Raw genomic sequence first — 22,702 nt, 5'->3', positions numbered from 1 at the left:
TCTGGTCTTACCTTAGTGCAAGTATTGAGTAAATAATTTATATAACAATGAAAATGTGTTTCAACTGCCACTATCATGGGTGCTGTTTTAAAAGTGTATCTATATAAGAAAAGTACAAAATTTCAGATAACATTGTCCCATAATGTATTCCAACTTAACCTCATTCTAGGAACATAAAAATTAAAAAAAAAATTATTTAAAATGCCACTTCTTTATAAGGTACTTAAAAATAGTCTTGAGTTACATACATAGATGCTAAAATATTGCTAATAAAAGACAATAAAATGTCACTGCAAATTTCAATTTAACCAAATTCAACCATAATAAAAAGGTGATTTTTATCACTCCTGAATAAATTTTAAATTATTTCTAATAAGCCCAAAGATAGAAGCAATAATTCCTGTTCAGCTCCAGAACACAAGTTTAATGCTTAAAATAGTATCATGACAGTAGCATTTAATAAGCAGAAAGTGACATTTTTGAAATGAGCTATGTGAGCACAAAGGTTATACATGGCTTTCAGTCATGCCCAGATGATCTTCCTTTCACAGTTAATTTTGGAAATTCACCTCGTGCCTTGTCAACCTATCTTTAGGAAATACTTTTTTCCTTATTTAAAAAAAAAAAAGTGTAATGTAAAACCATGCTTTAGTATCTGTAGGTGTTCTTGACCCAAGAGGTGAAAAAAAGAGATACAACAGAGGTTAGCCTTGTCCCTTCCTAGAAAGACTGTGGCCACAGAATCCCAGAATACGAAGGGCTCTTTGAGATATCCAGCCCAGATTCCATATATTACTAATGAACAAATATGAATTCCTTACTAACCACAATATCTAAGAGAATCTCAAAACTTAAATTTAATTCCACACCCTTTGAAACAAAGAAACCCATAAAGGAAAAAGCTATGCAATTCATTATTTTGTATATGGCATAAAGTATCCTTTTAAACAGTCCTTTCCATAGCAGCACTATAACTTTGCTTATCATGTTTTAGAGTTATATTTAAATAAGTAATTCAAGCAGGAAAATGTGAATCCATTGAAGGAAAATAATGTCTACACTGTGTGATACTGGAACTGGCTGATTCTGGAAGGTGAGAGACACATTTCCCACTTTCAGCAGAACTGTGCTCACAATAACTCTTTTCACAACTCACAACTCCATGACTCTGAAGGATATTTTTATTTTCACAGTCACAAGCCCCACAATACTATCCACTATTTTTTTTTAATTAAGATGTTTGTTAAGGAATGGAAGTTGCAAATGGCCTTAGTCTGTTTATAGTAGGAATAAGAAAGTGTAATCATGTACAAAAAGGATCGGGTTCAAAGTTGTAGGACCTGTGTTACAGTCCTGGATCTGGCGACAGTGAAAGTAGAGAACTCAGATGAACATTTTGGTGGAACCAGATGAAGTAAGGCATGGAACTGGCTCAACAGTGTGGTCAAAAAGTCAAGTGGGACTGAAAGGGTCTTGGCTTAAACTAGAAGACATAATTCTAATCCCTTCTCTGCCTCAGTCAGGATGCAGAACATTGGAAAATTACTTTGAAGTATATTTTTATTTACACTCACTTTTGCTATATATACAACAAGGGACTTTAATCAGAACTACTGTTCTTTGAAGTGTTCATTTCAATCCACTAGTTGTAAAATAAAATTAGAGTTTGTAACCAGCATTTTAAAACAATAAATTAGAATAGATTAGAAAATATAAGTACCTTTCATGGCAAAGAGCTAAAGCTTGCTTCTTGAAACAATATTTAAGCATATAGAAATTCCCTAAGCCACACACATTTCTTATAGGTCATGATCAAGAATGTTTGGAAAATCCTAAGCCAGAACACATCTGGCTGACAGTCTCCAGTAATTGATCTATAAATTCTTTTTCTCCCTATACCTACATATGTTCTCATTCAGTAAGAAGTGGAGTCTATTTCTTCTCCCCTTGATTCTGGCAGCTTCCACTTTCTCCCAAAGAAAACAAGCCACTAAGTCATAAATCTGAACACTCAGAAGATCACCATGCTGTAAGGAAGCTCAAGCTATCCATGAGGAAAAGAACCAAGAAATGGAATCAATAATGAAAATGAAACCCTAGCCATACAACTTCAGTAAAGCTGTCCCAGTGGCCCCCACATCTGCCTGAGCTACCTTAGATGAGATAGCAGACATTTTGGCTCAGTGGTAAGCCATCCCCACAGTGTTCTGTTGAAATTTTAACCCACAGAATTTTGAGCAAATATAATCATTGCTTTTTACATCTCTAAATTATGCAGTTATACATACCTAAAACTGGTATCAGAAGTATGGTGCTACTATAACAAAAATCTAAAACTTGTACACCGGTTTTGGTACTCAGTGACAGCAGAGGCCTGAAGGATAGTGAGGAGACCAGCTGTAAGCTCTAAAGCTGTTAAGGAAATTGATATTGGAGGCTGGAAAAGGGGAGCATGGTGTTATATATTGGGGAAAAATTGGCAAGATGTTGCCTGTCGTAATGCAGAATATACGAAATGTACCTCATGAAACTGTGGACCTAACGAAGGAGAGTTCTGGAAGAAGATGAAACTGAGTTGGTCTGTTTTAGCTATGTACGATACAGGATTGCAGGAGACAGAGCACTAAGGAAAGAACTGCTTAGTTCTCAAGCAGAAATGAAAGGAAATAGCTTCAGTGCAGTGTTTGCCATGAAGACTTTTCTGAGCAGCAAAAGGTTTCAAAATGAAAACAAGCCTCAGAGCAAAGGTCAAATTCAGAACTCCGCCAGTAAAATGTGGACTTGTAAAAATCAAATGAAGGGCTTGACTATAAGAGCCCCTGTTGACATCTCTGAAAGATTTACGGTACTGAACCTGGGGCTCTAAAGCATCTCACAAACACTGTGCCACAATGCACTGACCATAGCCTTAAGTAGAGAGAAGCCTTTCTCAAGGCAATTTGTAGTTCTGTCTTTCATCTAAAGAAATGTAGTATGATCTCATTCATAGAAAGCCCACAAAAATTATAAGAATACTTGGCAACACTGTTTAGACAGGAGAGAGATAGTTTAAAATTTAAATGAAAAAACACTTTGGGCCCCAAAACTTTTAAAGGCTGGAAGTAGCTAGGAAAACTACTCACTTACAGGTACAGGTCATTTGTTACAGAAAAGAAAAGAGGATTTGGAGAGTAGATTCAAGAGCTTAGAGAGCAAAATCAAGAACCACAGATAATCAAAACCAGGGAGGAAAATTGAGCCCTTATCAACAATCTTTTTTGCCCTCAGAGTAGGGAGAACTGGACATGAGTCTAACTGAACTTCTGAATTGCTGCGAACCAGTGACTTCTATGTTCCTCCCCTTCCTCTAGCCCCCACTGTTTGAACGAGACTGTACATCACACTTTACCTGCCCCTGACCTGCCAGTGTATATTGGGTTTGTGCGGTTGCAGATAAACTGTACTTTTAATTCAAAGCCTTTGCATATGAGGAATTGCAACCTAGGAGCTGTGCCTGAGAAACTGCACCAAGATGCCTCATTGCACATGGGCGTGACTTAGATAATGAAACCTTGATTTCAATCTGATATTGCCATGTCATGAAACTTTTGGGGAACAGGGTGAGAATATTTTGCCTATTGGAAATATTGTGGCTGGAAGGCAAATTTCGTTTGACAGTCTTTCAAGATAGCCACCCTCAACACCTTCCCTGCTTTTACACATTCTGTCTATCAATAGATAAGATCTATCTCCCTCTCCTGAAATAAGAGCTGACCTTGTGACTTGCCTTGACCTACAGAGTATGTCAGAAGTGATTTTCTAAGTCTTAGATGTAAGAGGACTGGCAGGATTCACTTCCTCTATCTTGAGAGCCAATTGCTGTGAAAGACCTCTTAGACCAACATGTTACGAAGAAGTTCAACCTAGTCATAGAAGAGGCCACACAGAGGAGAAAGATTGCTCAGACATGTGAGTGAAGCATTCTTCAACGTTCCAACCCATCCCAACTGCCAGCTGAGTACAGAAAAATAAGAGGCCCCAGCCATTGTCACATAAAGCAGAGGAACCACCCATATAAGCCAACAACTCACAGAACAACAAGAAATAATAAAATTTTGGGGCCAGGCGTGGTGGCTCACACCTGCAATCCCAGCACTTTGGGGGACTGAGGCAGGTGGATCACAAGGTCATAAGTTCGAGACCAGCCTGACCAACATAGTGAAACCCCGTCTCTACTAAAAATACAAAAATTAGCCCAGCGTGGTGGCAGGCACCTGTAATCCCAGCTACTCGGGAGGCTGAGGAAGGAGAATTGTTTGAACCATGGAGGCAGAAGTTACAGTGAGCCTAGATCACGGCATTGCACTCCAGCCTGGGTGACAAGAACAGAATTTTGTCTCAAAAAAAAAAAAAAAAAAGAAATAATAATGTTGTTGTTGTTCTAAGCCATGGTATTTTGGTTTAGTTTATTACACAGCAATAGATAACTGAAAAAAAAATCCAAAATTAATTTCCTGTGCATGTGGGTATCTCATTGAAAAAATAATATCATTTTCATAGAACTAGGGTATAGACTATACCCTGAGGATACAGAAAGCATCCTTTTAGAATATAGAAATTAAGAAAGTAAGCTTTCCTTTGAGTATTATAAAATCACCACAGGATGATTCAGAGAGGAGATAGAAAAAGATTACATTCTTTCTAGTCAAAAATCTGGATTGAAATCAGAGACAAGGTATTAATATATATATAAAGGAAGAACAACCAGAGTAGAGGTCGCCAGCCACAAGGATGGAAAACCTTAAGACCATGGAGCAAAGCCTGGTGGCCCCTTACAGCAGTACCTAGGGGATCTGGTCCTCTGTCAGATCTCTGTTGTGGACATGGACTCAGCATGCTAGTAGAGCCTGAAGCCACTACATACATAATTCTTATGAGTCATTCATTTTCTAAGTTCAGATTCGATGAGAAAGCTTTTAATAATTTATATTTCCAAAGTTTTATGCCTATGTTTCTAATATGATTTGACTGTGTCCCCACACAAATCTCATCTTAAATTGTAATTCCCATAATCCCCAAATGTCATGGGAGGGAACCGGTGAGAAGTAATTGAATCATGGGGGTAGTTTCCTCCATGCAGTTCTCATGATAATGAGTTCTCACAACATCTGATGGTTTTATAATTGTCTGACATTTCCACTGCTGGCACTCATTCTCTCTCCTGCACCCCTGTGAAGAGGTGTCTTCTGCCATGATTGTAAGTTTCCTGAGGCCTCCCAGCCATACAGAACTGTGAGTCAATTAAACCTCTTTTCTTTATAAATTACCCAGTCTCAGGCAGTTCTTTATAGCAGTGTGAGAACAGATTAATACAGTAAATTGGTAACGGATAGCGGGGCACTTCTGTAAAGATAGCTGAAAATGTGGAAGTCACTTTGGAACTGGGTAACAGGCAGAGGTTGGAACAGTTTGGAGGGCTTGGAAGAAGAAAGGAAAACGTGGGAAAGTTTGAAACTTCCTAGAGAGACTTGTTGAATGGTTTTGACCCAAATGCTGATAGTGATGTGAACAATGAAGTGCAGGCTGAAGTGGTCTCAGTTGGAGATGAGGAACTTCTTGGGAACTGGAGCAAAGGTGATTCTTGCTATGCTTTAGCAAAGAGACTGATGGCATTTTGCCCCTGCCCTGGAGATCTGTGGAACTTTGAACTTGAGAGAGATGATTTAGTGTATGTGGTGGAAGAAATTTCTAAGCAGCAAAGCGTTCAAGAGGAAGTAGAGAATAAAAGTTTGGAAAATCTGCAGCCTGACAATGCAACAGAAAAGAAAAACCCATTTTCTATGGAGAAATTCAAGCCTGTTGCAGCTGCAGAAATTTGCATAAGTAACAAGGAGCCAAATGTTAATCACCAAGATAATGGGGAAAATGTCTCCAGGGCATGTCAGAGGCCTTCACAGCATCCCCTCCCATCACAGGCCCAGAGGCCTAGGAGGAAAAAAGGGTTTTATGGGCTGGAGCCAGGGCCCCCCTGCTCTGTGAAACCTCAGGATATGGTGCCCTGCATCCCATCTGCTTCAGCTCCAGCCATGGCTAAAAGGGGCCAAGGTACAACTCGGCCATTGCTTCAAAGGATGCAAGTCCTAAACTTAGGCAGCTTTCATGTGGTGCTGGGCCCTGTGGGGGCACAGAAGTCGAGAGTTGGGGTTTGGGAATCTTCACCTAGATTTCCAAGGATGTATGGAAATGCTTGTATGTCTAGGCAGAAGTTTGCTGAAGAAGCAGAGTCCTCATGGAGAACCTCTGCTATGGCAGTGTGGAAGGGAAATGTGGGGTGGGAGCCCCCATACAGAGTCCCCACTGTGGCACTTCCTAATGGAGCTGTGAGAAGAGGGCCACCGTCCTCCAGACCCCAGAATGGTAGATCCACTAACAGCTTGCACCATGTGCCTGGAAAAGCCTGGAAAACCCACAGACACTCAACACCAGCCTGTGAAAGCAGCACAGAGTGGGGCTGTACCATCCACAGCCATAGGGACTGAGCTGCCCAAGGCCATGGGAGCCCAATTCTTGCATCAGCATGACCTGGATGTGAGACAAGGGGTCAAAGGAGATCATTTTGGAACTTTAAGATTTAATGACTACCCTATTGGATTTTGGACTTGCATGGGGCCTGTAGCCCCTTTGTTTTGACTAATTCATCTTGTTTGGAACATGCATATTTACCCAATGCCTGTAATCCCATTGTATCTTGGAAGTAACTAACTTGCTTTGATTTTACAGGCTCATAGGTGGAAGGGACTTGCCTTGTCTCAGATAAGACTTTGGACTTGGCCTTTTGGGTTAATGCTGGAATGAGTTAAGACTTTGGGGGACTGTTGGGAAGGCATGATTATGCATTGAAATGTGAGGACATGAGATTTGGGAGGGGCCAGGGGGCAGAATGATATGGTTTGGTTATGTCCCCACCCAAATCTCATCTTATAGTTCCCATAATCCCCATGTGTTATGGGATGGGCCCAGTGAGAAGTAATTGAATATTGGGGGCAGTTTCCCCCATGCTGTTCTCATGATAGTGAGTGAGTTCTCATGAGATCTGATGGTTTCATAGGCATCTGGCATTTCCCCTGTTGGCACTCATTCTCTCTCCTGCTGCCCTGTGAAGAGGTGCCATCCACCATGACTGTAAGTTTCCTGAGGCCTCCCCAGCCATGCAGAACTGTGAGTCAATTAAACCTCTTTTCTTTATAAATTACCCAGTCTCAGGTTATTTCTTTATAGTGGTGTGAGAATGGACAAATATAGTTTCTTATTAGAAAAAGAGCAAAGTGGGATTCTAGTTCTATGTACCCATCTCTTTGAGTTTGTCTACTCTAGACATCTGATGAGAGGGAGTTTCTGAGCTTGTAGATTGTGGCCAAACCTGTACCAAGGCAAATTCAGCACAGTAACACCCTTTTGTGGCATTCTATCCAGGCAGGCAGCCAGCATTCCCAAGAAGACACAGCCCTCTGTTCACAGTGTATATCACAAGTTCTAGTTTGATATTTGCATTCCAGGGCAGTAGCTTGTTTCCAAATCACTCTCCTCCTGTTCTAGACATGGGATGTCCATTAGACATAGCCTGCTTGTAGAGAACAGAAACAGTGGTGGTGCTGCAGACATTTCCTCAGCTCTACTACTACAGGCTCTCAGATTGCACCTGCCATTCCATCCTTTACACAAGTCTAGTAGGATAAAGAAAAGAATTGGAGACAATGTATCTATCAGGGACAGGAACTATTCTGCAGGAATGATCTCAGTGGGAGGTTATGCTAAAATATTAGGTTCCATAACCTAATAGATGTGAACAGCAGAGCATAAGACATGAGAACACATAGGGAGAACGTGCTCTGGAATCAGAGAGATCTCAGTTCCAATCCTATCATGATCTTGAACCACTACTTAACCTGTTTGTTCATCTATAAGGAGGAGATATTTGTAGGACTGATTATGAAAATCAAACGAGACAATGAGTCTGTGCATTTAAAACCATTAGCAGAATTCCTGCCACTTGGAAGGGCCTCAAAATGTATACCTATTAATATTTTACTTTCTCTAAAACACTGAGTTTATTCCTGCTCCCAGGAATGCTTGTGTTCCTGTTGAAGCATGGAAGTCAATAGCCCAAAATACAGCACTGTGACATGCTGGCCTAAAGAAGCAGTCTCGAGGTCTCTCTCACCTCCCCCCCTCACTCCTCCTTTCTCTCAATCCCCTCTCTCTTTGAAAGCACAGAATTGAGTTGTTATCTGAAGTTTCCTTACTGCCTAAAGCCCAGACCTACCAAAGAAGAAAACAATTTTCTCTGGTACCTTCCCTGAGTTTTCATTAACTTAAATCATATTGCAAAAAGAAAGACTGAAGTCTGTCAACACACCTGAACAGACTTTTGTCATAAGCCATTGTCTTCTATTTCTGTCCCATTCAGTATCTCAAAGGTAATCATTTACCAGCCATTGTCTGCTCTGTGGGCCCAACAGACTTCATCCCAGGCCACTTTATGTTCTCCAAGTCCATTCATTTCCCCACTAAAAATTATTTGCTATCCCTCATATAGCTGCATTTCTTCCATTTCCCCTTCCCCTATGAAGAAATTTATATAAACATCTGTACCCCATCAGGTTATTAGGTAATCATTCCTCCATGATTCCCCTGTGCTATGCACATTAAAATAAAGTTTGTTTGCCTTTTCTCTTATCTCCCTTTTTTTAGTTGATTTTCAGGAAACCTTCAGAGTATAAGGGGGAAAGCTTTCCCTCTCAACCTCTATATCTCCTATACAATGCTGACTTCTTTGTGTCACTCAGATCTCAGCATAAATGTTACCTCTTCAAAGAAGTCTTCTATGCACATCCAATCAGAACTTATCCCTGTTGGATATTTCTCTTGTTTTCCTCTCCATTGGTTTATGTGAGCTTATTGGTGCCAGTTTAGGTATTTCCCTTTTCCCCACTTGACTATAATCTGCATGACAATAATGGTTCCTTGTCTGTCTTGATCTTAGCTAAATCATTAGGGTAAAGTGACTAGAATATCACAGATTCTTGGTAAATCTTTGTTCACTGCTGAGTGACTTATAGACCTTTGACAGTATTAGAATCGGCATTCAGAATTTGGGGTATTTTGTAATAACACTAAAGAGTCATGAGCACCCCTATAATTTGTCATTTCCTCAAATAGTCTTGAAGAAGCAGGATGATGAGACTAATAAAGAGTGGTAATAATGGCAAAATAAATAAAAGGAGAGTGGTGAGAGTGGTCAGTGAAGGAATACTCAACATTATCCATGTGGAAAAATTGAGGCAGGTTAAATATTTTACTTGCCAAAAAGAAAGGTTAGAAAAATTAACTGAGAAATTAAAATTTTCCTCTTTCAGTTCCCTTATACTTTAAGTAAAGGTCAAGGGAAGGCATGAAGGGACAGGGCAGAGGGAAATCACAAGTTAGATTTTGCAATATATAAAACACTTAAGGTCTAATGACTTTGTAAGCATAATCCCAGACCACAAATTTGAGATTAAAACAATCATTTTCTGGCAAAAAACCTCCTGTGTAGTTATAAAGCTTAATATAGCAAGACCATTTGAAAGACTATCACTAGCAATATAGGGAATAAAAATATCCTAAAACTCCTTCATAACTCTCATCCTTCCTATGTATGAAAGTGATGCCATGTGGGATTGCTCTGAAGTAGTAAAGAATTACTGCAAAATATGCCACAGCCAGTATGATTTTTCTTCCTCTAATAGCATGCCAGACCTCTGATCATAACCCAAAATAGTTTCCATCCTTTTTCCCCTTGGCTTCTTCATATGCCCTTCACTCTGGCCAAACCAAACTACCACTGTTCCACACACTTATTAGATATGTGTATGTTCAGACTTTACTGAGACATTTCCCCTGTTCTTGTACCATCCTACCCTAAATAAGACCCTTCCCATCCTTTCAGGTCCAGCTCAAACATCACCAGCTCCTCCCCTTCCTCCTCCTTCTCTTCTTCTTCTTGCCCCACCCTCTGCCCCTCACTTTGGGCTTCATCTCTTTCTTTCTTGTGAACTTCCTCATTTTTACCTTGTACTTGATTATCAGCTTCTCTCTCAAAGGCTATGAGCTTTCTGAAGGGAGAATTAATTTATCTTTTTAAAAGTCCCAGCAAACTGTACACAGCAACTTGCTCCCAATAGGCAATCAATCAATAATTACTATAAATAACTGTTCATGGGATAATAAACTATAAGTGTATAATGATTCAAAGTTTTCAAATCTCTTTCTTATATATCCCTTCAAATTTTCTTTTTTTCTTTCCTCCACTTTCATTTCTTTAATGAAAGTTTATGTGCCACATAATAAGGGTGCAGTCAGCTATGGATCCCATATACAACTGTGGTCTCATAAGATTATAATACCATATTTTTACTCTACCTTCTCTATGTTTATATATGTTTAGATATGCAGATACTTACCATTGTGTTACCATTTCCTGCAGTACTCAATATTGTGACATGCTATACAGGTTTGTAGCCTAGGAGCAACAGGCTCTACCTTATGGCCTAGGTGTGTACAAAGCTATGCCGTCTGGGTTTGGGTAAGTACACTCTATCATGTTCCCATGACAACGAAATTGCCTAATGACACATTTTCTCAGAAAGCATCCTTATTGTTAAGCAATGCATGACTGTATATGCAAACACACACGCACACACACACACACACATATTACTGTAAGTTCCTCAAACCGAGAGATCTATGAGTGGTTTTATCTCAGCATGCCAATCACCTCCACCCAGTGGTCAATCAAACACTAGAAGTCCAAGCTAAGGAAAACAATATGCACATTTAAAACTTAGGGATTGCTGAGCTATTAAACCAGTGGTTGATAACTCTTTTTTCTCTTTGCCCAAATATTTTGAAGCCATCAGCAAGTTTTCTTTACAAGTTCACTGTAGCTATCACTTGCAGAATTTCTACCTACAGTGAAAGGAAGTTACCAAGTTGATTTCCTAAGTCTTAAGGGAAAGAAATGTGACAGCACAAAAGTGTCCATGGAAAATGCATGATGCTAAGCACCCAATAAAAGCACAATTAATTTGGATTCAACCCAGGGGGATATTATCTTAAAGAAAAGTAAGTTGGGAGAAAAATCCGATTAATGATTGGAACATTTCTCCTGTCCTTGGGGCAGTCAACTCTGTAGAAGCTGAATCCCTGCCGTTTCATAGATACAGTCTACTGAGGATTATCCTTTGGAAGTCTGTCCTGGTTGTGATAAAAAGACAGAAATGTTTGTGATCTTCTTAAGTACCTGAGATCACAGAGGAAGCAGCATGGAATTACACAGCCATAAAACATTTCATCCAACTTCATTGAAGTTGTGTGCTAACATTTCCTTTAGTGGAACTGTAACTTCAGTAATAATAGTAATAATGATAATAATGCATAATAATAGCCACTATTTATCAAATGCTTTATTTGTATCAGACAATGCGCTTTGGGGGGATTATTTCATGTAATCCTTACAACATCCCTATGAGGTAGGTACAATTATAAACTCTGTTTTACAGACATTAAAATATAGTTATAGAGAAATTGAATTACTTGTCCAAGTGGCAGAAACTGTGTGAACATGGGTGAGCTGGCTCTAGTCACCATACTGTCAAAAAGACTAATTTGCCTCTATATATGATGGTGCATATTTGTTTTACAAATATATTGTTAAGGGCATTTTTTTACCGTTTTTTAAAACACTACCAATACTCTTCCATAAGTCAAATTAGTCTGAATTTGAATCCCAATTTAGTAGTTGTATAACCTTGGGAAAGTCAACTCTAACTTTACGAAGCCTTGTTGAGCTCAACTGTTAAATGGATATAATGATGCTTATTCATATATGCATGTGAGGATTTAAAAAGACATTCTACCTGAAGTATTTAGCATACTGCCTGGGATATAGGAAGGGCTTAAAATGTAGAATCAAGTATCATTATCAATTATTATTGCTATACATGGAGAATTATCTCTGACTACATTGGAAGATAGGAGAGCATATGCTTTTACACATACTTCACATTTATCTATCACAGAGCTATAAAAATTAATGCTGCCAATACCAAAGAATCTACCAGCTCTGGGAAATTGTAAAATGAGTGATTTTGCCAATAAATACAGATTCTATGTTCATTGAACTATGAGACCAATATGTCAGTTTCCTTCTGCATTAGGTTTATAGCCCATGTATGTGAAGGTAATAGAAATGGATTTACTTTGAACAAAAAAAGCAACATGTGTTTTAAAAATATGTAGTTACTGGAACTTTTGGGATATTACCATTTTAGTATTGATAATCTTAGTTTTCTTATCAGTTTTTTAAAAATGATTTCCCTTAAGTGAGTTTTAATTGAAGGTGCAACTAAAAATCACAAAGTGGAGTAAATCACAGCATATGCATGACAATAGAAAATTCAACAGATTAACAATTTTTATTAAAACTTTTTTTTTTTTTGAGACGGAGTGTTGCTCTGTCGCTCAGTCTGGAATGCAGTGGTATGATCTTGTCTCACTGCAACCTCTGCCCCACAAGGTACAAGCAATTCTCCTGCCTCAGCCTCCCAAGTAGCTGGGACTACAGGCACCTACCACCATGCCCAGCTAATTGTTGTATTTTTAGTAGAGATGGGGTTTCACCATGTTGCCCAGGCTGGTCTTGAACTCCTGACCTCAAGTGATCCACCTGCCTTGGTCTCCCACAGTGCTGGGATTATAGGAGTGAGCCACCATGCCATAGATATATCCCTTAGGTTTTACAAAATTACATTGGTGAGTTATTTTCTATACTTCTCAAATTTAGGAAAAGTGTGACTAGATTGTTAAAAAAATAGAGAATATTTCTAAAAACTGAGATGGCTCATTATGAGGACATGCAGATAGTGAGCATGTTTTTTTTTTTTATATTTATGCAGTTCACCTTCAGATATTGCAGGTGTTCTATTATCCCCATGCAGTGTACCTTCATTCTTGAAGAGTTAGGTGGGAAAAGAGAAAAGATTTTTTTGTTTGTGCACAATTTTAATTTAGTCCCAATGACCCAATACTCTTTAGTTGGTCTTTTATGTAAGTTCTGTTTACCTTTCTCTATATTCAGATGAGGAAAATGGTTTCGTCTAGGACAGAGTAGCTTGATCCATGTTAGAATCTCACTGACCACAGGGACCAGACACTGGTATTTTTTGGTTCTGAGCTCTTAGGGGTTACTAAAAACACAACACAAGCAGAAGTAGCAGTGGACAATGGAAAAATCTAATCCTTGACTTTTGAACTCAAGGCCTTAAATCAGTTTTGCTCTTTTTTTTCACATTATTTGGAGGTTCTATTTAATCCACAGTAATTTCAGGGAAAAGTGTTATCTCAGAGACAGGGCTCTGAAGAGTCAGGACCACAGTGGGCCACACAGAAGCAACATCCCCAAGGAGACCTTAGTCTTCCTTGCCTTAGCTGGAGTCATGGGCTATTTGTGAATTTATTATTATTTAAATAGTTATGAAAACTTCAGAGGCTATTCTTTGGTTTTAGTTTTAGATCTAAGTTTGTTTTCTTTATAATAAATGCCATCAAGATGACATGGATTCTGAGTCTAAACTATAAGAAAGGAGAGAGACATTACAGTTCACCCAGTCTGCAATATTCTCAGATTACAGTCCACAGATTATTCCCCGTGTGGCTTTTCCCACCCCCAAGTCATACCTTAAACATCTAACTCAAAGTCAGGATGGGATATTAACCTAAAAATTAAACTTCAACACATAGACAATTTGAGTAATATTAACAGGAATTTAAAGAAATCACTCTAAAACTAATTTGAAAGTACATTTTCAAACTCAAATTTGAATTTGAATTTGAATATGGATACACAAACACATGTGTATGCATGCATATATGCATGTATGTCTCTCTCTCCTTCTCTCTCCCTCCTATATATCAAGAAATGTTCTGCTTTGTGATCACTATGAAGATCCTTCATATATAAAATTGTAAATACTGTAATCAATTAGCTGTGACCATGTCACGAACCCATTCCTTTACCCCTCCAATGTTCTCCCATAGTTATTACAGTACACATAGCCTTCTATGACCTGGCTTCCCTCTCTTTCTCCAGCCACATCTCACAATGCTCACCCCTTTGATAACTCCCTGCAGCCAGAGGCTTCTCTTTCAGTGATTCAGACGAAAAAAGTGATTTCCCAACACCAGGCTCTTTTGTCAAATGCTTCCTACAGCTGGAAGACCTTTCTCTTCACTCCCCTGCCTCCCTTGCTACTTAACCTCTAAGTCTTAGTTTAATGTTCACTCAAGGACCTCTTCTCTGGAAAATCAATCTAAGAATAATCTTCTTTGGAACCCTCCCCTGTTTCTTGCCACCATCTCTAGGTGCATGTTTATTTGTGTTACTGCTTGCTTAATGTCCTTCTCCTTTAGATAGAGAGACTGTGTTTGTCTCTCTCACTTCTGGAGCCCCAGCTCCAAGCACAGTGCCTGCTTGATAATAAAATTAGAATCTTTTGCAAAGTTACACATAAAAAGATGCAGACTTTTACACTGTTCATTCCTTCTAAACATCTTTTGTTAATTTCATTTCAGAAATATTTTGCCATGAAGTGGGTAAGTGGGGAGATCTTGTCTCATCATCAGACATCTTATCCAAATAGGAAGGACAAATGATAATGTGATAATCTGCAACAGCTTGTCACTATTGAAGTAAGAGAAAAGATGCTGTCAAAGTACACCCGAGCTAAGCTGGCAATTTAGGTACCGACAAAACAATTATAAAGTAGTGTGATGCTGGAAACGCACAAGTAGAAAGCTCTAACATGAGAGGAAGTTAATCTTAACAGGAGCGAGGTTTGGGGTGGTGTCCTGGGTTTCTCAGCAGGTACAAACTATACAGAACAAGTGCATGAGGTAATTGGGAATAGTGCAGCCTCTTCCACTTCGACTCTGTATGTTCCAAGCAAATTTGCCCTTACAATGCTTTTCAAATAGCACAAAAACCCAGGCAGGGAAGACAAATTGTTCTCAGCCAATAGGAATTTTGGTGTTACCTTGGAGATATGGATCCTTTGCAATCAAACCCATGTCCTAAAATTCTCCCACAATCACCCTTAAGTACACAGTACTTAGACCAGAAAATAAAAGCTTTCAAGGGCATACCCCAGCAAGCCGTTTAAAACAATAACAGAAATTCCTAAATTCATAGAGATAATTGAGACATTGAACACATACAGTAAGTGCCCTTAGAACAATCAGGAAGCCACATGCCCTGGATTTCTAGAATGTTTCTATGTATTTCTGTGAACAGATTCCAATGGGAAGAATTGTTTTTCCTCATTTGTGTGTCATTTGTCATATGCCCACACAAAGCAATAGCAGAAACTGTTCTTTCCCCCAGTGAATTTACCATTTAAAGGGGAAACAAAACACATATAATTTCTAACTATTTACCAGCAAGTGAGACTCACAACTGACAAAACAAGTAGGAAAAGCACCAGTGGATCCAAATTGCAGCTCCCACTCCCTCCTGCCCCACTCTGTCTTCCAGATTTTCAGTGAGCTTTTCTTAACATTCTAATCATTTAACTAAGTTCCAGTTAGGTCCAGAACTTTTTGAGAGACAGGAAGCCAGATTCAGTGATTTCTTTTTCCTCTTGATTTCATTGCCATGAATTGAAGCAAACATGAAAAAAAAAATATATAGCCCCTAATTCCAGGACCCCATCCAGATGAGCACATGATTTAACATTTACTGTCAACATAACATGATACATATAATACAGAAATATAGAATGATATGTGCAGGCTACTAAAATAAAAAAGAATCATTTTATTAAAAACATACTGATTTTTACATTGCAACTATCTGGGTGAATTGTTACTCTTGGGCTCCAGCTAAAGCCTCTATTTCACCTATAATAGCATGATCACAATAAACTATAGCTGCCTCTATGCCTCTGTGTTTCCTCCCCTGGAATGCTTACTCCATGCCAGCCCTGCCTGTCTTTATCCCCTGTAGATACCCACTGTCTATCCAAGGGCCTGGAGTACAGCAGGAACTTTAAAATATGTGTTGAATGAATGGCCTCAAAATATGAGGCACATGGAATCCCTAGTGGGTCTTATAATGCCATGAGTTGACTAACCCTTGCCCGTCCTTCCAACTTCATCTTTTGTGCCTTTCTTCCAGGTTCACTCTGTTCCAGCCACCTCTGGCTTCCTTCCTATTCCTAACTGCCAAGCATGCTGTAATCTCAGACCTTGTACTAACTCTTCCCTCTGTCTGGAATGTGCTTCCCCCAGCGATGTACATGGCTTGCTTCATTACTTCTTTTCAATTCAGGTCAAATATCACCTCATCACTGAGGGTTTCTCATGACCACCTTATTCAAAATGGTCATCCCCCTGTCTGTCGTCCCCCTAATTACTTATTTATCTTCATAGCACTTGTCACTAACTGCCATCATATTTACTTATGTTTACTGTAATATCGCTGCCTCTTCCCACGAGAACATAAGTTCCACGATAGTAGAGACTTGTTTTTAGGCATGGCTGCATGCTCCAGGCCTGCAGCAATGCCTGTCATAGACTAATTGCTTAATAAATATTTGTTGAATTGATGAATTCATGAGAAGCCACCAAAAAAAAAAAAAAACGTTTTGGAAAGGTCCTTTGTTGCCTGCATCTCTTCCATCTCTGACTTCTACAGCAAATTTATTTATAAAAGCTAGGATGGAATATGTGGACAATTTTAAAATAATAAAAATTAGAATGGATTAAACAAAAACCAACTTGGATTAAAACCATTTTCCCTGCTCCTTTGTTTCCCCAAGCCCCTATAGTTTTGCTGAGCCAAGTTACACATGTAAAATTCTGAGCACATCACAAATATCCTTCCAGCTCCTGCTTGTGCCAGAGTTTCTGTTCCAATTGATCAATTATACCCTCTAAAAATATGCCCAATCATCTGGATATAAATGCAATATACTATTGATAGGAAAGATCCCACTGAATTTACCAAAGCCTATTCAAATTTTGCTATGATTATGGTTCTTTAAAATAAGCCAAGCTGTTTAGGTGGGCAATTTAGCATCATGTATCAAATTCTTTGAAAAGCTCAATGTCCTTGCCTGGAAGATTGTACTTGCAGGCATGGATCTCAAGACAATATTCAGTCATATTTGAAAAGATATGTCCAAAGATATGGTATGCTCTATGTCATAGTGTTTCTCTCAAAGTATGTTAGAAACAACATAAATATCTGAGAAGAATATTGTATATCTAAATTAACAAGACCCTTATAACTATACAATAAAGTACTCTGCAATAAAAATAATGTTGTGATAATATGCCTATTGGCATAGAAAAAATGGTCAACATTTACAAAATTATATTTTTGTAAAGTAAGTGTCTATTATGCATATATATGTAAGTGTATAGAAAGGTATCTTGATGGATTGAAAAATTTGTCTATGACTTGGAAAGGGAGGTGGGTAATGGCTATTCTTTACATATTCTTTTTTGCATATGTAATATATTATGATCTCCTTGTGATAATGAGGCTTTACTTTTAAAATAAGCAACTATAATATGAAATTGAGGAGGAGATAAAGTAAAATATGCCCCTTCAGTTTACATCATGCATTCCTAATGCAGGCAATATCTTCTCCAACAGGATGAAATTTGGTTCTTGGGAAAGGGGCAAAATATCTCTTTCTTTTCATGTATAAAGCATAGATATATATATACAGCACATGAACAGATATATTGTATATCTGTAGCATTAAAATTTTATGGTAGGGTGACTAGGAAAAATATACCTTATAAAGCTCCTTTTGGGAGTATAATGAAAAAAATTGAAAGCCCCACTTCATTTCAATCTAATATTTTAATATTTTGTTTGTGTGTTTTTAGAGCTTTTAAAATTCCTTCCATTTATTTGATACATAATGACTTCTCCTCACTTCCAGTAAAAACAGGTTTAAATCGAACCATGGGTCCTGAGGAGAGTGTCCTACAAAAATTCATGAGGAGTTTCTGAAAAGAAGTAAAGGAATGAGGTTACTGGATCACTAAAGGCAAAAATCTTCAGCTTAGGAGAGAGTTAACTCCAATATCCAGTAAGCCACTTCAGGCATCTCAGAAGCAATCCTTAGAAATATTTCTGCTTTTTCTAATTGAGGTCAGACAATGGGAAGCTTCTCCTAATCCCCAGACATAGCACATTTTTTTTTTTTTTGGCATTTGTACAATGCCTTCATTTAAGACCTTCCTTAAAAGCATCCTCTCCATGATAAATGAGCGATGGAGTTGGCAAGCTTTTTCTCTACTGACACTCATATTTCAGAAAGTCAGGATTATGATTAGAGAAGCACAATATCAAAGACAAGACTCAAATAAGTCCCCAGAGCAAGAGCAGCTGAAATTAGAATTATCACCAGCATTTCCTCCCAGGAACAATTTCAAATCCATCAAAAGGACAGAAGGGGATAATTCTAAAACATAAACAGAGAGGAAGAGAGAGAAAAAAGACAGCCTCCACCTCCTAATATAATAAAAACAATTTCTCCAGGTTGTCATAAAATATCCTCAAGGAGTGACTAAAACTCCAGTTACCCAAAGTAAACAAGCTGGAGCTTTCTGGTAACGTGTCACAGTGTACTCAGCCCCCAGATGTATGGAGTTCTTTGTCAAAAGCCAAGTTGTATCATAGTGATAGGAAAACATGAGTGTTCTTCTTGCCCTTTCCCAGAAATCAGGTTAATCCCATTACAGAATGGCTCTGTCTGGTGATGCCTCTCATCGTAGAGGAAGCTGCAACCATAAATTTAAAGAGAAGCTATGGAAGATAGAACAATGGCACCCCCCGAAAATGTCCATAGCCTAAAACCTGCAGCCTGTGACTACATTACAAAGCAAAGAGAACTCAACAGATGTGATTATGGTTAAGGACTTTGAGATGGGGAGATTAGCCTGGATTGTCCAGATGAGTCCAGTCTAATCACAGGAATCTTTACAACAGGGAACCTGTTCCCTGGCTGTTATTGGAGAGAGAGGACAGTGGAAGCAGAGTGAGCAAGATGCGACATGAGAATGTGACCAGTCGCTGCTGGGCTTTAAAGATGGAGGACGGGGGTCATAAACCAATCAGAAATGCTATCATTTACTGATTTCCACAAGAAGTATATGCAGCTAAAGAAGCTGGAAAAATGGACAAAGGGTTTCCCCTAAAGCCTCTAAAAGTAAATATAGACATGCTGACACCTTGATTTTAGCTCAGTGAGACTCATGTTAGACAGAATTATTAGATAATACAAGTATTGTTTTCAGCCACTAAGTTTGTGATACACATACTTTTATAGCAGCAATGAGAGATTAATATGAAGCTAAGGTTGGAAATCTCAAATACTCACTTTATTACATCCATGGCTAGTTCTTAATAATGCAAAACACCTTGAATGTTAGTTGACAGATCCAGCCCTCCTCCACAGCCAGACCACTCCCTGGAGGGTCATATCATAGGATCGAACCAATCAATCCCCAAAGCAGTACACAGGCAGAGCAGAAAAACCAGGGAAAGGGAGAAATATTTCTGAGGATCCTTGTTCATTTTTCTCTGGATCTTTTAAATTTGTACTCTAATGCATTGGGCAACATTATTCAACTTTACTTCCTTAATTGTAGCTTTGTTAGAAACATAAAGGCCCTCCAAACAATGTGATTCCACCTAACTTTAAAATAACTGGGCACATTGTAGACCCTGGCAATCAGCCTAGTCTATTCTACTTAGCCCTTTTTATATTAACCTGACAACTTAAACATGATAAATGGATGCCAGGGAGAAAAATGAAATAAAACAAAAGGGAGAAGCTTAACAGATTCTTTTGGTATTGTGACCCTCATTAGAATGACATATTTGATTATAAATACATGGCTGTTTTATTCTCAGCTCAATTATTTAGAAAGGTTCTCCCTCACCAACTATTTAATGTTGCTCCTTCCTCTATATAGTTGTATTTCCCTATTTCCATTTATTCATAATATAGTAATATCTGAAATTATATTTATGTTTTGTCTCACACATCTATTTTCTCCACTAAAACATAAGCTCCATTCTTGCTTGGTAGTCCTGGAAAAACATACATACAAACATACATACAAACATGCATACATAAAAAATAAAATAAAAGCTTCATGAAATTGGAGACCTTTTGAAGATCTTATTCATGCTATATCTTCATGGTGTAAACTAATGCTTGACACATAGAAGGCAAGCATTAAATAATTTATGAAAGGATGGATGGATTGATAGATGGATGGAAGGAACAGAAAAAGGATATTTGATGTCCAGAAGGTAAACAAATCTTTAAACAATGGCAAGATTTTGTAAATCTTTAATAGGTGGCTATTAAGTAGACAGATGGAGAAAACAAGCATTCCAGATGACATTTCCCATGTAGATAATAATACTTCCTTTGACCAATGAAATTAGAGCAGAGCTAATCTGTTCTATATCTAAAAATTTAGATATGTGTGTTTTGCTTTGGCCTCTTTCAACCATGCTCATGAGAAAAGTGTGGCCCAAGTGCTGTTGCTACTTAGTCTAGGCCTCAGAAAGAGAGACATTTGAAGTAAACCTGAACATGACCAATGGTCCGAGGTTGAGCACAGCCAAAGATATTGACATGCATTAGCCATTATATTCTTCTGACTGTTATGCATAATTATAACAGCACACTGTTATAATCATTAGTATCACTAATACAGCTGGTCAATGGGGAAGTATGCTACAGGAAAGCTTGATCATGAAATATAGCAGAAAATGGTTAAAAATCCATTAAAATTCATGATTCCCCTACCATAGTGTAGAGCTGTTCCTAGGAAGTAGCTGCCAACCAGAGACTGTACAAACTATTGCACCCAGGGGGAGCCATTTGACAGTTCTGATCAATAGAATAATATTGGAAGTGATGTGTGTTACTTGAAGTAACCAAGATGGTCAAAACAATTAAGAAGCCATCTCTTTTGCTTCATCCAGGTGGATACTAATGACTGAGGAGCTCAAGGAACAGCAGAGCCATAACATTGAAGAAGTCTAGATGCCTAAATTATCACCTGGGGGAGTGCCACTCCAGACCAAAAACACCCACGTTTGGACTATTACGTGAACAATAATGAAATTTGTATTTTGTTAAGCCAGTAAAATTGAGTTTGCAACAGCTGGTAATAGCCTATGTAATATGTTTAACATGTAATAAAATTATATCTATTAAATAATGATTATACCTGTATATGCTATATTGTATATGGTGTAAGTATATCGTATATGTGCAGGATTATTTCAGAATCAGAAAATGTTTATGTCCACTTAAGGGAATGCTTCTCAGAAGAGAAAGTTTACTTTAAAGAAAAAAGCAAGCTTTCCAATATGGTAACATTTTCTATTCATTCCTATAAACAAATGGAACAGAGAGTCAGAGGTTCTAGCTGATGAGGCTCCATTGGCAAAAAGACTCCTGCCTTCATAGAGTATGTATACTAGTAGGACTTAGACAATAAACAACCATAATACATAAGTCAATTATATGATACATTAGAAGGTAATGACTGCTTATAGAAACAACAGAGCAGGGTAAGAACTGATGGGGTATAGTGTCAGGATCTGTAGGGGTGCAGGGGAGCACAACTTAACTAATATTTAGATGTTCAATGCCCAAAGTGAATGGAACTGAAGGTAGAGAGGAGCATCCCCAACCAATTTCTTCCATCTGTGTTCCTCACCAGCTCTCAAGGTGATTCTGGAAATTGTAGGACTCCTATTGTCCTCATCTCAGCTTTAAATGAGTTGGACTCTTGTTTTTACTGGGCAGAAGAAGAGGAGGAGAGCTAATCGGGCTTAGACAGGCTGACAAGGCAGTGATCCCCCTTCTGTGTGTTCAGGAAAGCCTACTTAGGCATTGGTTGGCACAGGGACCAGATCTGTTAGTTGCACATTTACCATTGAAAACTAGATGGATGGGTCACACATCTGGAGGTACTGGTGATCCCTAAAAATCAAACATGTTATGGATTTGCTGCTCTGTTGTTTCTATAAGCAGTCATTACCTTCTAATGTATTAACCTGAGACTATCACTAAGAGATTTTAACAACATAGAATCTTCGGTTGTGATGGCAACTCTAAAAAAAACAGTCTTAGGAGAGGGAAAAGAAAGTTGTTTATTGATTAGCCCAAATTTGCCCCTACCTATATGTAATTTGAAAAAGGGAAGAAAAATGAAATAAAGCAAAAACCCAACTCAGGTGCACAGAATATATTTTTAAAACATAAAAAACAAAACGCTTGTTTTTCTCCTCCCACCCTAGCCTATATTTATTTTGGCTGCTCACACCTCCTTCCAAATGGTTGATCAAAACACAAATCCTTCTGGGAAAAAAAGCTTGAATATGATGATTTCAGTCTCAGAATTATTTTCTGAAAATCATTCAAAAGTATTAACATATTTTGTATAGATAATAAAGATGGAAAACTGTGAAGAAAAACTGGAAAATGCTTGAAGTTTCTGTATGTTGCTATAATCTTGCATTTAGAAAGCTATGATTATTTCACAAATGCTGTTCAAAATTCCAATAATCTTTTCATTA

At 38.3% G+C, this 22,702-nt stretch overlaps 1 protein-coding gene across 4 annotated transcripts in view, besides 1 other annotated feature; it reads right to left on the bottom strand.

Moving 5' to 3' along the window:
* The window catches only part of NYAP2 (neuronal tyrosine-phosphorylated phosphoinositide-3-kinase adaptor 2), a 305,716-nt gene that overhangs the window by 126,007 nt on the left and 157,007 nt on the right, over positions 1 to 22,702 (bottom strand). The window lies entirely within an intron of this gene.
* Positions 18,948 to 19,148: a silencer, noted in NCBI's record as "peak4061 fragment used in MPRA reporter construct". NCBI's record gives its function as "represses an SCP1 promoter by STARR-seq MPRAs in K562 erythroleukemia cells {active_cell/tissue: K562}" and the evidence as "EXISTENCE:reporter gene assay evidence [ECO:0000049][PMID:32103011]".

Source organism: Homo sapiens, chromosome 2 (genome assembly GCF_000001405.40).
Source record: "Homo sapiens chromosome 2, GRCh38.p14 Primary Assembly".
Taxonomy (NCBI): Eukaryota; Metazoa; Chordata; class Mammalia; order Primates; family Hominidae; genus Homo; species Homo sapiens.
This window is presented reverse-complemented; position numbering and strand designations above follow the sequence as displayed.